Source organism: Homo sapiens, chromosome 14, assembly GCF_000001405.40.
Source record: "Homo sapiens chromosome 14, GRCh38.p14 Primary Assembly".
NCBI lineage: Eukaryota > Metazoa > Chordata > Mammalia > Primates > Hominidae > Homo > Homo sapiens.
Genome location: NC_000014.9, coordinates 57,938,388 through 57,954,843, shown reverse-complemented (window position 1 = coordinate 57,954,843; position 16,456 = coordinate 57,938,388). Strand labels below are relative to the sequence as shown.

The 16,456-nt window shown below is 39.2% G+C and overlaps 1 protein-coding gene across 1 annotated transcript in view, besides 2 other annotated features; it reads left to right on the top strand.

The window, feature by feature from the left end:
• SLC35F4 (solute carrier family 35 member F4) overlaps positions 1-16,456 on the top strand; it is a 419,262-nt gene that overhangs the window by 28,338 nt on the left and 374,468 nt on the right. The gene's annotated exons all lie outside the window — the stretch shown is intronic.
• Positions 2,883-3,383: an enhancer, noted in NCBI's record as "H3K27ac hESC enhancer chr14:58418179-58418679 (GRCh37/hg19 assembly coordinates)". NCBI's record gives its function as "activates a minimal SCP1, AML or CMV promoter by ChIP-STARR-seq in naive H9 embryonic stem cells {active_cell/tissue: H9 hESC(naive)}" and the evidence as "EXISTENCE:reporter gene assay evidence [ECO:0000049][PMID:30033119]".
• Positions 10,943-11,112: an enhancer, noted in NCBI's record as "experimental_34518 CRE fragment used in MPRA reporter constructs". NCBI's record gives its function as "activates a minimal promoter by MPRAs in K562 erythroleukemia cells, with activity observed for both the introgressed and non-introgressed 14:58410535 variant alleles {active_cell/tissue: K562}" and the evidence as "EXISTENCE:reporter gene assay evidence [ECO:0000049][PMID:34662402]".

Here is a 16,456-nt window from a genome sequence, read left to right as displayed (position 1 = left end):
CTGGTAGAATTCGGCTGTGAATCTGTCTGGTCCTGGGCTTTTTTTTTGGTTGTTAAGCTATTAATTACTGCCTCAATTTCAGAACTTACTATTGGTCTATTCAGAGATTCGACTTCATCCTGGTTTAGTCTTGGGAGGGTATATATGTCCAGGAATTTATCCATTTCTTTTAGATTTTCTAGTTTATTTGCATGGAGGTGTTTATAGTATTCTCTGATGGTAGTTTGTATTAGTGTGGGATCAGTGGTGATATCTCCTTTATCATTTTTTTACTGTGTCTATTTGATTCTTCTCTCTTTTCTTCTTTATTAGTCTGGCTGGCGGTCTATCTATTTTGTTAATCTTTTCAAAAACGCAGCTCCTGGATTCATTGATTTTTTGAAGGGTTTTATGTGTCTCTATCCCCTTCAGTTCTACTCTGATTTTAGTTATTTCTTGTCTTCTGCTAGCTTTTGAATTTGTTTGCTCTTGCTTCTCTAGTTCTTTTAATTGTGATGTTAGTGTCAGTTTTTGATCTTTCCTGCTTTCTCCTGTGGGCATTTAGTGCTATAAATTTCCCTTAAACACTGCTTTGGCTGTGTCCCAGTGATTCTGGTATGTTGTGTCTTTGTTCTCATTGGTTCAAAGAACTTATTTATTTCTGCTTTAATTTTGTTATTTACCCAGTAGTCATTCAGGAGCAGGTTGTTCAGTTTCCATGTAGTTGTGTGGTTTTGAGTGAGTTTCCTAATCCTGAGTTCTAGTTTGATTGCACTGTGGTCTGAGAGACTGTTTGTTATGCTTTCTGTTCCTTTGCATTTGCTGAGGAGTGATTTCCTTCCAATTATGTGGTCAATTTTAGAATAAGTGCAGTGTGGTTCTGAAAAGAAAGTACATTCTGTTGATTTGGGATGGAGAGTTCTGTAGATGTCTATTAGGTCCGCTTTGTCCAGAGTTGCATTCAAGTCCTGAATGTCCTTGTTAATTTTCTGTCTCATTGATCTGTCTAATATTGACAGTGGGGTGTTAAAGTCTCCCACTATTATTGTGTGGGAGTCTAAGTGTCTTTGTAGGTCTCTAAGAACTTGCTTTATGAATCTGGGTGCTCCTGTATTGGGTGCATATATATTTAGGACAGTTAGGTCTTCTTGTTGCATTGATACCTTTACAATTATGTAATGTCCTTTTTGTCTTTTTGGATCTTTGTTTGTTTAAAGTCTGTTTTATCAGAGACTAGGATTGCAATCCCTGGTTTTTTTGGTTTCCATTTGCTTCATAAATATTCTTCCATCCCTTTATTTTGAGCCCATGTGTGTCTTTTCACATGAGATGGTTCTCCTGGATACAGCACACTGACGGGTCTTGACTATCCAATTTGCCAGTCTGTGTCTTTTAATTAAGGCATTTAGACTGTTTACATTTAAGGTCAGTATTGTTATGTGTGAATTTGATCCTGTCATTATGGTGCTAGCTGGTTATTTTGCCCATTAGTTGATGCAGTTTCTTCATTGGGTTGATGGTCTTTACAATTTGGTATATTTTTGCAGTGGCTGGTACTGGTTTTTCCTTTCCATATTTAGTGCTTCTTTCAGGAGCTCTTGTAAGTCAGGCCTGGTGGTGGTAAAATCTCTTAGCATTTGCTTGTCTGTAAAGGATTTTAGTTTTCCTTCGCTTATGAAGCTTAGTTGTCTGGATATTCTGGGTTGAAAATTACTTTCTTTAAGAATGTTGAATATTTGTTCCCACTCTCTTCTGGTTCGTAAGGTTTCTGCAGAGAGATCCACTATTAGTCTGATGAGCTTCCCTTTCTGGGTAGCCTGATCTTTCTCTCTGGCTCCCCTTAACATTTTTTCCTTCATTTCAACCTTGGTGAATCTGATGATCATGTGTCTTTGGGTTGCTCTTCTCGAGGAGTATCTCTGTGGTGTTCTCTGTATTTCCTGGATTTGAATGTTGGCTTATCTTGCTAGCTTGGGGAAATTCTCCTGGATAATATCCTAAAGAGTATTTTCCAATTTGGTTCCATTCTCCCCATCACTTTTAGGTGCACTAATCAAACGTTGATTTGGTCTTTTCACATAGTCCCATATTTCTTGGAAGTTTTGTTCATTCCTTTTCATTCTTTTTTCTCTAATCTTGTCTTCATGCTTTATTTCATTAAGTTGATCTTCAATCTCTGATATCCTTTCTTCTGCTTGCTTGATTCAGCTATTGATATTTGTGTGTACTTCATGAAGTTTTTGTGCTGTGTTTTTCAGCTCCGTCAGGTCATTTATGTTCTTCTTTAAACTGGTTATTCTAGTTAGCAATTCCTCTAACCTTTTTTCAAGGTTCTTAGCTTCCTTGCATGGGTTAGAACATGCTCCTTTAGCTCAGAGGAGTTTGTTATTACCCATCTTCTGAAGCCTACTTCTGCCAATTAGTCAAACTCATTCTCCATCCAGTTTTGTTTCCTTGCTGGTGAGAAGTTGTGATCCTTTGGAGGAGAAGAGGCATTCTGGTTTTTGGAATTTTCAGCCTTTTTGTGCTGTTTTTTTCCATCTTCGTGGATTTATCTACCTTTGGTCTTTGATGCTGGTGACCTTCAGATGGGGTTTTTGTGTGGACATCCTTTTTGTTGATGTTGATGCTATTCCTTCCTGTTTGTTAGTTTTCCTCCTAACAGCCAGGCCCCTCTGCTGCAGGTCTGCTCGAGTTTGCTGGAGGTCCACTCCAGACCCTGTCTGCCTGGGTATCACCAGCGAAGGCTGCAAAACAGCAAAGATTGCTGCCTGTTCCTTCCTTTGGAAGCTTCATCCCAGAGGGGCACCCATCAGATAACAGTCATAGCTCTCCTGTATGAGGTATCTGTCGACCCCTGCTGGGAGGTGTTTCCCAATCAGGAGGCACGAGGATCAGGGACACACTTGAGGAGGCAGTCTGTCCCTTAGCAGAGCATGAGTGCTGTGCTGGGAGATCTGCTGCTCTCTTCAGAGCTGGCAGGCAGAAACATCTAAGTCTGCTGAAGCTGTGCCCATAGCCGCCTCTTCCCTCTGGTGCTCTGTCCCAGGGAGATGGGAGTTTTATCTATAGGCCCCTGAGTGGGGCTGCTGCCTTTCTTTTAGAGATGCCCTGCCGAGAAAGGAGAAATCTAGAGAGGCAGTTTGGCTATAGCAGCTTTGTTGAGCTGTGGTGGGCTCTGCCCAGTCTGAACTTCCCTGAGGCTTTGTTTACACTGTGAGGGGAAAACCGCCTATTCAAGCCTCAGTAATGGAAGATGCCCCTCCCCACACCAAGCTCAAATGTACCAGGTCGACTCCAGGCTATTGTGCTGGTAGCGAGAATTTCAAGCCAGTGGATCTTAGCTTGCTGGGCTCTGTGGGGCTTGGATCCACTCAGCTAGACCACTTGGCTCCCTGGCTTCAGCCCCCTTTTCCAGGGGATTGAATGGTTCTGTCTCGCTGGCATTTCAGGCACCACTGGGGTATGAAAAAAAACTCCAGCTAGCTCGGTGTCTGCCCAAACAGCCACCCAGTTTTGTGCTTGAAACGTAGGGCCCTGGTGGTGTAGGCACCCAAGGGAATCTCCTGGTCTGCAGGTTGTGAAGACCATGGGAAAAGTGTAGTATCTGGGCTGTAATGAACCATTCCTCACAGCACAGTCCCTCATGGCTTCCCTTGGCTAGGGGAGGGAGGTCCCTGATCTCTTGCTTGCCCCACTCTGCTTTGGCTTGCCTTACATGGGCTATACCCATTGTCTAACCAGTCCCAATGAGATGAGCCAGGTGCCTCAGTTGGAAATGCAGAAATCACCCTCCTTCTGGGTTGATCTCTCTGGGAGCTGCAGACTAGAGGTGTTCCCAATTGGCCATCTTGCCAGCCACCCCAAATTCAAGAACAATTTTAAGAAACAGTCTATCCAGGCCGGGCGTGGTGGCTCGTGCCTGTAATCCCAGGACTTTGGTAGGCCAAGGTGGGTGGATCATGAGGTCAGGAGTTCAAGACCAGCCTTGGCAAGATGGCGAAACCCCATCTCTACTAAAACTACAAATTAGCCTGGCGTGGTGGCAGGCACCTGTAGTCCCAGCTATTCAGGAGGCTGAGGGAGGAGAATTGCTTTAACCTGGGTGGGAGAGGTGAAAATGAGCTGAGATTGTGCCACTGCACTCCAGCTGGGCAACACAGTAAGACTCTGTCTCAAAAAAAAAAAAGAAAGAAAGAAAAGAAACAAAGAGTCTATGCAAATGACAATGGGCTGGAAAAGTAATTTTGGTAATATGACAAAACAGAGTCCTATAACATCCCCAACAATCACCCTAGCTCCCCAGAAATGGCTCCAAGCCAAGAAGAAATCTGAATTGCCAGAGAAAAATTTCAGAAGGTTGATTATTAAGCTACTCAAGGAGATACCAGAGAAAGGTAGAAACTAACTTCAAGAAATTAAAAAAAATACAGGATATGGACTTAAAATTCTCTAGAGAAATAGATATCATAAATAAAATACAATCACAGCTTCTGGAAATGAAAGACACACGTAAAGAAATACAAAATGCAGTGGAAACTTTCAGTAGAGACTAGAACAAGTAGAAGAAAGAACTTCAGAGCTTGAAGACAAGGCTTTCAAATTAACCCAATCAGACAAAGAGAAAAAAAAAGAATAAAAAAAATTGAACAAAGCTTCCAAGAAATTTGGGATTATGTTAAATGACCAAGCATAAGAATAATTGGTGTTCCTGAGGAAGACGAGAAATCTAAAAGTTTGAAAAACATATTTGAGGGAATAATTGAGGAGAACTTCCCTGGCCTTGCTGGAGAGCTAGATGTTAAAATACAAGAAGCTCAAAGAACTGTTGGGAAATTCATTGCAAGAAGATCATCACCTAGGCACATAGTCATCAGGATATGTAAAGTCAAGACAAAGGAAAGAATCTTAAGACCTGTGAAACAAAAGCATCAGACAACCTATAAAGGAAAACCTATCAGACTAACAGCTGGTTTCTCAGCAGAAACCTTTTAAGCCAGAAGGGATTGGAGTCCTATTTGTAGCCTCCTTAAACAAAATAATTGTCAGCCTAGAATTTTGTATTCAGCAAAACTAAGTTTCATAAATGAAGGAGAGATAAAAGTTTTTTTCAGACAAACAAATGCTAAGAGAATTCACCACTAGAGAACTAGCACTACAAGAAATGCTAAAAGAAGTTCCAAATCTCAAAGAAAACCTCAGAGTACACCAAAATAGAACCTTCTTAAAGCTTAAATCTCACAGAACCTATAAAACAATAACACAATGAAAAAAACATGGTATTTAGGCAACAACTAGCATGATGAATAGAACAGTACCTCACATCTCAATATTGACATTGCAAATGGCTTAAATGCTTCACTTGAAAGATACAGAATGGCAGAATGGATAAAAATTCACCAACCAAGTATCTGCTGTCTTCAACAGACTCACCTAATGAATATGAACTCCCATAAACTTAAGGTAAAGGGGTGGAGAGAGATATTCCATGCAAACAGCCACCAAAAGTGAGCAGGATTAGCTATTCTTATGTCAGACAAAACAGACTTTAAAGCAACAACAGTAAATAAAGACAAAGAGGAACATTATATAAAGACAAAAGGATTAGTCCAACAGGAAAATGTTACAATCCTGAATATATATGCACCTAACACTGAAGCTACTAAATTCATAAAACAATGACTACTAAACCTAAGAAATGAGATAGATGGTAACACAATAATAGTAGGGGATTTCAATATCTCATTGACAGCACTAGACAGATAATCAAGACAGAAAGTCAACAAAGAAACAATGGATATAAACTATACCCTGGAAAAAATGGACTTAACATGTTTACAGAACATCTGTAACTTCAGAATATACATTCTTTTCATCAGCACATAGAACATTCTCCAAGATAGACCATATGATAGGCCACAAAACAAGTCTCAAAAAATTTAAGAAAATTGAAATCATATCGAGTATTCTCTCAGACCACAGTGTAATAAAACTAGAAATTAACTTCAAAAGGGACTTTTAAAACTATACAAATACATGGAAATTAAATAATTTGCTCTTGAATGATATTTGGGTCAACAATGAAATCAACATGGAAATTAAAACATTATTTGAACCGAATGATAATAGTGTCACAACTTATCAAAACCTCTCGGATACAGCAAAAGTGGTTCTAAGAGGAAAGTTTATAGCATTAAAGGCCTACATCAAAAAGTCTGACAGAGCAAAAATAGACAATCTAAGGTCACACCTCAAGGAACTAGATAAACAAGAACAAATCAAACCCAAAATCAGCAGAAGAAAAGAAATAACAAAGATTAGAGCAGAACTAAATAAAATTGAAACAAAAAATACAATACAAAAGATAAATAAAACAAAAATCTGGTTATTTGGAAAGATAAACAAAATTGATAGACCGTTAGTGAGATTAACCAAGGAAAGAAGAGAGATGATCCAAATAAGCTCAATTAGAAATGAAACAGGAGATATTACAGCTGATACCACAGAAATACAAAAGATTATTCAAGGCTACTATGAATAACTTTACACACATAAACTAAAAAATCTAGAAGAGATGGAAAAATTCCTGGAAATATACAATCCTTCTAGATTAAATCAGGAAGAAATAGAAACACGGGACAGACCAATAAGTAGCAAGATTGAAACAGTAATAAAAAAATTGCCAACAGAAAAAAGTCCAGGACCAGATGGATTCACAGTTGAATTTTATCAGACATTCAAAGAAGAATTTACGCCAATCCTGCTGAAACTATTCCAAAAGATAAAGAAAGAAGGAATCCTTCTTAAATCATCTCAAATCATTCCATAAAGCCAGTATCGCCCTAATGCCAAAATCAGGGAAGGATATACAAAAAAAGAAAACTATAGACCAATACCTCTGATGAACATAGATGCAAAAGTTCTCAACAAAATACTAGCTAACCAAATCCAACAGCATATCAAAAAGATAATACATCATGATCAAGTGGGTTTTATACCAGGGATGCAGGATAGCTTAACATATGAAAGTCAATAAATGTGAAATACCACATAAACAGAGCTAAAAACAAAAATCATATGATCATCTCAATAGAAGCAGGAAAAGCATTTGATAAAATCCAACATCCCTTTATGATTAAAAACCCTCAGCAAAATTGGTGTAGATGGGACATATATCAAGGTAATAAAAGCCATCTATGACAAATCCACAGCCAACATAACACCGAATGAGGAAATGTTGAAGGCATTCCCCCAAGAACTGGAACAAGTCAAAGATGCCCACTTTTGCCACTTCAGTGTAACATAGTACTAGAAGTCCTAGCCAGAGTAATCAGACAAGAGAAAGAAAGGGCATCCAAATTGGTAAAAAGGAAGTCAAACTGTTGCTGTTCACTGATGATATGGTTGTTTACCTAGAAGACCCCAAAGACTCATCCAAAAAGCTCCTATATCTGATAAATGAATTCAGTAAAGTTTCAGGACACAAAATCAATATACACAAATCAGTAGCACTGCTATACACTAACAGTGACCAACCTGAGAATCAAATCAGGAACTCAATCCCTTTTACAACAGCTCCCAACAAACAAACAAACAAACCAAAAAAAAAAAAACAAAAAACCCACCACCAGCACCAACAAAAAACTTACGAATATACCTAACCAAGGAGATGAAAGATCTCTACAAGGAAAACTACAAAACACTGCTGAAAGAAATCATAAATGATACAAACAAATGGAAACATATCCCATGCTTACAGATAGGTAGAATCAATATCGTGAAAATAACTATACTGTCAAAAGCAATCTATAGATTCAGTGCAATTCTGAACAAAATACCAATATCATTCTTCACAGAACTAGAAAAAAACAACTCTAAAATTCACATGGAACCAAAAAGGAGCCCACATAGCCAAAGCAAGGCTAAGCAAAAAACAAAAACAAAAACAAACCCAAATCTGGACACATCACATTATCCAACTTCAAACTATACTACAAGGCTATAGTTAGCAAAACAGCCTGGTACTGGTATAAAAATAGGCATATAGACAAATGGGATTGAACAGAGAACCCAGAAATAAAGCCAAATATGGCCAACGTGGTGGCTCATGCCTGTAATCCCAGCACTGTGAGAGGCCAAGGCAGGTAGATCACTTGAGGCCAGGAGTTGGAGACCAGCCTGGCCAACATGGTGAAACCCTATCTCTACTAAAAATACAAAAAATTAGCCAGGCATGGTGGCACATGCCTGTAATCCCAGCTACTTGGGAGGCTGAGCCAGGAGAATAATTTGAGCCTGAGAGGCAGAGGTTGCAGTGAGTGGAGATCGTGCCACTGCACTCCAACCTGGGTGACAGAGTGAGACTCGGTCTCAAAAAAAAAAAAAAAAAAAAAAAGAAAAGAAAACAAAACAAAACAAAGACAAATACTTACAGCCAACTGATCTTCGACAAAGCAAACAAAAACATAAAGTGGAGAAAGGACACCCAATTAACAAAAAGTGCTGGGATAATTGGCCAGCCACATGTAGAAGAATGAAACTGGATCCCCATCTCTCACCTTGTGTAAAAATCAACTCAAGATGGATCAAAGGCATACATCTAAGACCTGAAACCATGAAAATTCTAGAAGATAACATTGGAAAAAACTCTTTTAGACATTGGCTTAGGCAAATATTTCAAGACCAAGAAACCAAAAGCAAATGCAACAAAAGCAAAAATAAATAGATGGAACCTTATTAAACTAAAAAGCTTCTGTACAGAAAGAGAAATAAGCATAAGAGTAAACAGAGAACCCACAGAATGGGAGAAATTATTTGCAAACTATGCGTCCAACAAAGGACTAATATCCAGAGTCTACAAGGCACTCAAACAAATCATCGAGAAAGAAAACAAATAATCCCATCAAAAAGTAGGGAAAGGACATGAATAGACAATTCTCAAGAGAAAATATACAAATGGCCAACAGACATATGAAAAAATACTCAACATCACTAATCATCAGGTAAATGCAAATGAAAACCACAATGCGATTCCACCTTACTCTTGCAAGAATGGTCATAATCAAAAAATAAAAAAATAATAGATGTTGGCATGCAGGTGGTGAAAAGAGAACACTTTTACACTGTTGATGGGAATGTAAACTAGTAAAACCACTGTGGAAAACAGTGTGAAGATTCCTTAAAGAACTAAAAGTAGAACTACCATTTGATCCAGCAATCCCACTACTGGGTATCTACCCAGGGGAAAAGAAGTCATTACATGAAAAGGACACTTGCACATGCATGTTTATAGGGCAGCACAATTTGCAACTGCAAAAATATGGAACCAGCCTAAATGCCCATCAAACAATGAGTGGATAAAGAAAATGTGATACACACACACACACACACACACACACACACACACACACACACACACACACACATTATCATTGCTCTTACCTGGTAAAGAGCAATGATAATAGCAGCTGCCTCTTAATCATTCTTTTGTATTGCAGGGGGAATTCATTTCCGCTTAGGCAGCAGCTTCTTTTTCTGCTTAGCTCAAGTCAGAAATAGTAGCTTTCAGGGTTCTGGGATCTGGGCTCTGGCCTCTTTGGTAATTCACAAATCCATTGTCTGTTTGTGGATGCATGGCTTTCAGCAAACAGCCACCTTAACAGGGTAGTATGTCATGTGTCAACCTAAATAACAAACAGAGAGGCTCTTTAAAAGAAAATGGTATTTATTTGGGAATAGGGCTTTGCAATGGGAATATGCATGCCATAGTAAACTATGTACATATTCTTGGATGCAAAGGAAGACCAAGGTTTTTAAAGGAAAAATGAGGACGATTACATAATTATTTTGAGATACTTATCTTTGTCAATAACAAGAGCGACACCAGCCCAAGGTTGGGCAGGCAGATGCTGGGCAGATGTCCTTACAGGAGTATTTTTTGTGTGTGTAAGGTTGTACAGCCTTTGTGCAAGACTGGTTTTTGCAGCCTTTTGTGATTATCAGGCATTTATGTGGGAGAACTTGTCTCCTCATGGCCTTCCTGGCTCTGTCAGGTTTTCTTTTCTTTTTTCTTTCTTCTTTTCTTTTTTCTTTTCTTTTCTTTCTTCCTTTCTTCTTTCTTTCTTTCTTTCTTTCTTTCTTTCTTTCTTTCTTTCTTTCTTTCTTTCTTTTCTTTCTTTCTTTTCTTTTTCTTTCTTTCTCTCTCTCCCTCCCTTCCTGCCTCTTTTCTTTTTTCTTTATTTTCTTTTCTTCTTTCTTTCTCACAGGGACTTCATTTTGATTTTGACAACTTTCATACCTGAAGGTCTCACAAAGCACAATTTTGAGGAGTTAATAATAAATATGAGATGGGAAGACAGGCAGCCCTGATATAGAGGAGAGGGATGAGGGAAATGTAAACAGTGAGGGTGGGAAAGCGGTAAATGCTCTTTTTTGTTAGGAAACAAGAACTCTGTAAAAGCATATTCATCAGGTGAGGGAGTGCTTGATAGGACTATTCAGGAGAAAAAGCTATTGTTTTCAATGTAGGAGGAGTTATCGGGTTAACACATTTGTATGCGAAAGGTCACTTATAAGAGGATTTGTTTGTCATTATAGATATCAGGGAATATTTGTGTTTGTTTTCTTGGTGAAAATAAAATGAATTGGATAAGTAGGAATAGAAGACCCTCTTTTGGTCAGCCTGGTACTTGACGATACTGGAATGACTTCGGAAAAATCAGAAAGGGAGGCTGAACAGTGTTGACTTTTCCTGCAATCACAAGAATGTGACAGAAATTGGTGTGGAGCTCGTGTGGAGGACAATGACTGGGTTCATTTGGGGAGGGGGTTGAGTTGTGAATAAAAGAGAATGCACTGAGGCCACTGGCTGGACCCAGAGAGGTGCAATAGCTGCCTGTCATCTCTCCCATTGGCGTGGTCCAGAAAAGCAGAAACAAAGCAGGTGTTAATGAAACTGTTCAGTCTTCAGCCCTGCCAATTCACTCCCAGCAGGGAAGGAAGTCCAAGAAAGAAGAAAGTACAGAGATGATGCAGAGTGACTTCCTGCGAGGAGGGACCACTGGGGATATTTTCTTCACCAAACTTGGCACTTTCTCAAGATTTAGAATTAGAACCAGCACTGGCGGTTAACTGAATCGAATAGTATTACAGAAGAAGTTCAGCTGGGCCCATCCATGATCCGTGCAGACATCGGGGCTGGGGAAGTCTACCTCTGGGTTGTGTGGAGGCGGTGGGAAGTCGCAGATTGGTGAAGAGTCCCGTTACATCATGACACTCGGCAGTAACCAAGAGCAGAAAACTCACTGGCGTGTGCGTTGTACTTTGCTAAGGCACCATGCGGTGAGACTATTAACTATATGAGAGAAAGGAAATATATGAACTAGAAAAATCACAGATATCACAACAAATGATATAAAGTTTCTCTCTTTTTGGAAAGCGTAGACATTTGTGCATGGGAGAAATGTACTTAATAGAAATTAGACCAGGGAATAGCAAGAAGTTAGAAATCACCATAAAAATAGGATAAGAATCCCACTGCTCTTTGCTGAGCCGTCAGTAAACAGCAGCTGTATAGACAACAGGTGGATAACTTGAAAGAGAAACTTAGCTGTGTCCCATGGTGTCTTTAATCTTGCCAATTCTGTGCAAAAACCACTGGGGGCTGCACCAGGAACTGAGGTCATAGTAACTCTCCCTGCAAGGGAAAAAGCAATACAGTAATACGGCCCAGATCTCTTCAGCAAAACTCTCCAGTTATTTTGGTGGTTTCCTGATGTTTCTAGGGAATGGGGCTCACATAGTGTTATGAGGAACAAAGAGATTGGAAGCATTGGTGTAAGAATGAGAGGCTGGAGTTCTGGCTTTTAAAAAAACTAGATTCAAGCCTAGTCTGTGCTTTTACTAAGTATGTGACCTTGAACCAATCCCTAAAGCTTTTAAATCTCAGTTTCTGAATTTTAAAAATAGAGATAACACTAATTACCCCAACCGTCTCACTGGCAGTTGGAAAGGTCAGATTAGAAAAGATATATGAAATTGCTTGGTAAATGACAAAACCCTACCTACATTTTCATTGTGAGAGCAATCACCAGGGTAGATCTGGACATCATATTATGAAAGACAAAGATCTTTTAGGCAGTATAAGTCGTGGCTTCCAAGAATACTGTTACAGTTAAGTTTTAAGTATATTTCCTGTTAAAACTCTCCCTCCATAGCATATTGGGCTTTGGGCAACAGTTGTATTAGTTGGTATTGATAAACTTGTATTGAAATTCCGAAAATGCTACGTCACTGAAACAAAAGACAAAAACTCCACAGAATCCAGTCTTCATTCCATATTTGGCTTGGGGAAGATGCTCACAATTATTATAAAATATTTAAAACTCAAAAAAAGTCATCTGAAGTTATCTCACCTACAGTTAGGATGGGCAATAAAGAAAGCAAGAATGTTATGAAAGAGATTTTAGAACTTGAGATACTGGATGGGTTACAAAATGAATTCAGCCTAGAATCAGGGCCTAGGTATAAGAGTCAACTTATTTTAGGAATTTCACCTGTGTTTTTTTGTTTGAATGATTTATTCACCTGGTCTACAACAGAGTTATTTCTCCCTTGCAATAAGTTACAACCCTGTATTTTAAGGGGCTCAACATTAAGCTGGAACATTCTCTGTAAGAAGATGAAAGCTTTGCGGCAAGGAAAATGTCAATAATGAGGTTCTGACGTTATTCACTCTTGAGGCAGAATATTTCAGTCAGTGGCATCTCTCTAACCAGGATTGCAAAATGTGCAATTTTAAGTGGAGAAAAAGAATGGCACAGACACCTTACTAAATCTCAAAGTAATGGGACAAAGGAAAAGACTTTGCAGCCCACAGATGCTTTGCCACTCCTAGGTGAAGTCATCACTTGATAAGATGCAGACCTGGCAGCTGCCTTGTGTCTGCCAGCCACAAAATGCCTTAAACAGTACTGGAGACTCATTCACCCATTCATTCATTCTACAGGTATTTGTTAAGTACCTGTATATCAGGCATTTTGCTAGTCTCTATAGGGAATAAAAATTTCATGAGTTACAACTCCTGCTCTCAAAATGTTTATAGGTCATGTATTCTCACTTTTGGTTACTTTTTAATGGTCATAAGCTTTTTTTTTTAAATTGAGCTGAAATTAGCCTAACATAAAATTAATCACTTTAAAGTGAACAATTCAGTGGCATTTAGTACATACATGATATTGAACAACTACTACCTCTACTTTGTTCCAAAATATTTTTATTATCCCAAAATAAAACCCCATGCCCATTAAGCATTTACTCTCCATCCTTTCCTTCCCTCAGCCCTAAACAACCTCTAATCTATTTTCTGCATCTATGTATTTACCTATTCTCAAAATTTCATATAAATGGAATCCTACACTATGTGACTTTTGCATCTGGCTTCTTTGACTTAGGACAATGTTTTCAAGGTTCATCCATATTGTTACAGCATGTATCAGTACTTCATTCCTTTTTATTGTTGAATAATATCCTATTATATTTACATGCCATAATTTAGCCATTTATCCATTAATGGACATTTGGATTTTTCCATCTTTGGCTATTGTGAATAATACTTCTGTGAATATTTGTGTACAGGTATTTGTTTGAGTTCCTGTTTTCAATTCTTTTGTGTGTGTATCTAAGAGTAAATTGTGAGTCATGTGATAATTCTATGTGTAACTTTTTCAGGAACCAACTATTTTCCACAGAGATTGCATTATTATACATCCCCACCAGTAATGTACAAGGGTTCCAAGTTCTCCACATTCTTGCCAACACTAATTTTTCTTGTTATTTTCCACATTTTGGATTACAGCCATCCTAATAGGTATGAGTGGATTCGTTTTCCCTAATGACTAATGATGTTGAGCATCTTTTCACGTGACACTAAGTATTTTTACAAGGCAACTAAGATACCTATGAGTGATGATGTCAGGTCATCTGAAAGCATTACTGCCTTTGAACCTGGGAGGGAGTGGGGCCTGAGATCATGGAACATAGAACTAGCACATTTTGATAGGGGGAGAAGAAGGAGGAGGAGGAGAAGAGGAGTAGTGGGGGAGAACAGATGCAAGGGCAGTTCTGGGAGCATTGCTTGTGATGGAAGAAGAGGAGGAGTTGGATGAGACACCTGGGCAACCAGGTGGGCTGTGCGTACAGGTAAAATTGAATGATGGCAAAATTAGGCTGCCGCCTTATCTCATAGTATCTCAAAAAGTGACTACTCCACTGCTGAATGAATGATTTGTGCTGCTCAGAGAGCAGCAGCATAACCATACACTGGTCATTAGGGGACCTCTATGCCTGGTAGCATTAGTGAACAGCTAATTTTATCTAAGATAAGAGAGGCAAAAGTGCTTTGAGAAAATCAAGGGTCCCATCTAGACTGTGAGGTGATGAAAGCTTCAACTTAAAAAAAAACAATTTTAGGGTGTACAGAATGAACTATTTTTTAGGATTGTTTTTAAATGAAAAATTCATGGCTACAGCTTTGGAATGCATACTTTTTTTTGTATTTATCTACCATCTCACACTTAGCAAAAAACCCATTCTCATCAAGAGAATTGCTTTGGAGTCAATTTCCAAAAATAGAATTTAAACTCCCTTAAGGGATACTTCAATTCAATGGATGACAATACTGAGCCCTGACCCTGGGGTGTCTGTAGACTTCATCTTCTATTCTATTCACACCCTTTCCTAACTCTACAGAAAATGAGAGCCTTGCTGAGCACTGGAGGATGTTGGAGTATAATGGCTTTCACACTTAGGCTGAACACATTCTGTAGCTAGTTTCCATCCCCATCATTCTACTGAAACTGTTCTCCAAAAAGGGAATGATATCTTCCTAACTGCAGAATCCAGTGGCCTTCTCTTAGTCCTTACTTAACCTGTTTAACCCAGCTACCATTTACCCATCACTTTCTATACAGGAAGCACATTGCTAAGCACTTTATATTTGCAGTGCGAATGTAAAAAAATATTTATATATATTGTGGTTGCAAATGTAACTTACTCTATAACTTGGATGTTTAGAGAAAAATGTAATATCTTTATTTTGTCTGTAAGACTTCTGGCCTTCTACCCAACTCCCAGCCCATTGGGGAAAATGATTTAACTGTCCAATTCAATTCCACATTATTCCAACTCCATTAATTAAATGGCTCCCATAGATAGTATTGAGTCGCTATTGGATAGAAATGCTCAGCTTCTCAGATAGCCTTCTACCCTTCCTCGCTCTGAGATTTCTTTTCTAAAATGTTGTTTAGGGATATGCAGGGAGAGGGTGGCTTTACATGATCTTAGGGCAACATGGAAGACCCATGGTCCTTAGTGGTGATGTCCTTTCTTCTTCTGGTCTCCAGGCCAATGCCCCTCGTGCACTGGGGTGCTGCTTGCTCTGCTGACATTGATGGCTACAGTTGGTGGCTCTTCTCTTTTGCTCTGGCAGGCTGTGGTCATGCTCCTTGGTTGACTTAGCTTCACTTCTCTACAGCTGATCTAGGGACTGCTTTGAGGTCTAGCTGTGACCCTTATTTGGCCTCAGCCCCAGGATGTTTGCTTTGGAGCCCTTCACTACTGTTATGAAGATCCTCCCTGAATCCCTTCCACGCCAGAATCTCAGCTATTGTGGAACCTTACCAAACCAACACAGAAACCCAGGGCAGCTTGGGAAAGCAAAATCTTTTCCTCAGTATTACCCTTACTTATCTGGTGCACCTCTCCCTCTCGGGGGGAAAGATACCAGCACTGAAGCATGCATTTCCCCACTTTGCTCAGCTACCTCTGATATCCTCTTCCCAAAATCCTCCAGGGGAGGAAAGAAATTGACTTTCCCCTTCCTCTTCAAATCTGGACATAATTTACGTTAAACATTAGGGTCTAGCTGCTGAACCTGCTTACATGTCTACAGTCTTATTCCAAAAATCCTAGTTTTGAATGTCAGAAGCTGAATATATCTCAATCTTTTTTTGCAGCCCTTCTGTCACAAACCCCAATCGGTAGCATGTCCCAATCAGTCGAATGCCTTGGACACACTAGGGTCTTGCGGCTAAAAGCATGGTTTACATAGCAGTAGCCGCAGCCACAGAACCTGTCAGGAGTTTAGAGTCCCAGGCTCCACCCAGTCCTACTGAATCAGAATCTGCATTTCAGCAAAATCTTCATGTGTTAAGTGTGAACATTAAAGTTTGTGAAGCAGGGGACTGAGACAAATGCCATGTAATCAAAGACAAAAGAGAAAAACACCTTAACATTTTTTCTTTTGCATTTATGTGACAATAATTCTGTGATATTTAATGACATTAATCCTGTGAGGTGGATATAGTTCTCTCCATTTTATAGCTCAGCAAACAACCCAGGAAAGTTAACGAAGTGCTGATGATCTGAAAACAATGGGCCAGGATTCAAGCCTGGTCTGTCTGACTCCCTGAACCTCCCG